Genomic DNA, 1,413 nt, shown 5'->3' with positions numbered 1-1,413 from the left:
CTGTATTTAGGAATAAACATAACCAAAGAAGCAAAAGATTTGTACATCATAAACTACAAAACATTGCTAAAATAATTTAAAGAAGACATCAATAAATAAAAATACATACTGTATTCATTGATTAGATGTCTTAATACTGTTAAAATGTTCATCTTAACTAAAGCAATCTACAAATTTATGCAATCTGTATAAAATCACAAAGGTCTTTTTTCTTTTGCAGAAATAGAAAAAAAATCATCCTAAAATGTATATGCATTCTCAAATGATCCAAAATAACCAAAACAATCTTGAGAAAGAAGAATAAAGCTGGAGGTTTCACACTTCCTTATTTCAAAGCATATTACAAAGCTACAGTAATTAAGAGTATGCTACTAGCATGAAGACAAACATAAAAATCAATACCACAAAATAGAGAGCTTAGAAATAAACTCAATATATATGGGCAACTAATCTACAACAAAGATGCCAAGAACACACAATGAGGAAAAGATAGTCTCTTTAACAAATAGCATTGGGAAAAGTATATCCACATACAAAAGAATGAAATTGGACCCTTTTCTTACATTATATAAAAACTAACTCAAAATAGATTAAAGACCTAGGTATAAGTACCAAAACTATAAGACTAGAAAAAAAAACATAAGGAAAAGACTTATGACATTGGAATGGGCAATGACTTCTTCAATATGACAAAAGAAGCAGAGTAACAAAAGCAAAAATATACATAAGGGAATAACTCTAACTTAAAAACTTCAGTGCAGAAAAAGAAACAATCAAGTAAAAAGACAACCTGCAGAATGGAAGAAAATATTTGCAAACAGTGTATTGGATTAGGGGTTAATAATCAGAGTATATAAAGAACTCATAACTCAACAACAAAAACGACAACAATGGTTATTAAAAAATGGGCAAAGAATTTGAGTGGACACTTTCCCAAAGATGAGATACAAATGGCCAACAAGTATATGAAAAGATGCTCAACATCACTAATCATCGTGAAATATAAATCAAAACCACAACAAGATATTATCTCATACCTGTTCAGATAGTTAGTATTAAAAAACAAACAAGGCCAGACACGGTGGCTCATGCCTGTAATCCCAGCACTTTGGGAGGCTGAGGCAGGCGGATCACGAGGTCAGGAGTCCGAGACCAGCCTGACCCACATGGTGCAATTCCATCTCTACTAAAAATACAAAAATTAGCCAGGCATGGTGGCGTGGGCCTGTAATCCCAGCTACTCAGGAGGCTGAGGCAGGAGAATCACTTGAACCCAGGAGGCCGAGGTTGCAGTGAGCCAAGATTGCGCCACTGCACTCCAGCCTGGGTGACAGAGCTAGACTCCATCTCAAAAAAAAAAAAAAAAAAAAAAAAAAAAAAAAAAAAAAAAGCTTCTGCACAGCAAAAGAAATA

This window comes from Homo sapiens, chromosome X (assembly GCF_000001405.40).
Source record: "Homo sapiens chromosome X, GRCh38.p14 Primary Assembly".
Classification (NCBI taxonomy): domain Eukaryota; kingdom Metazoa; phylum Chordata; class Mammalia; order Primates; family Hominidae; genus Homo; species Homo sapiens.
The sequence above is the reverse complement of the archived record's forward strand: the minus strand, read 5'-3'. Positions refer to the sequence as shown.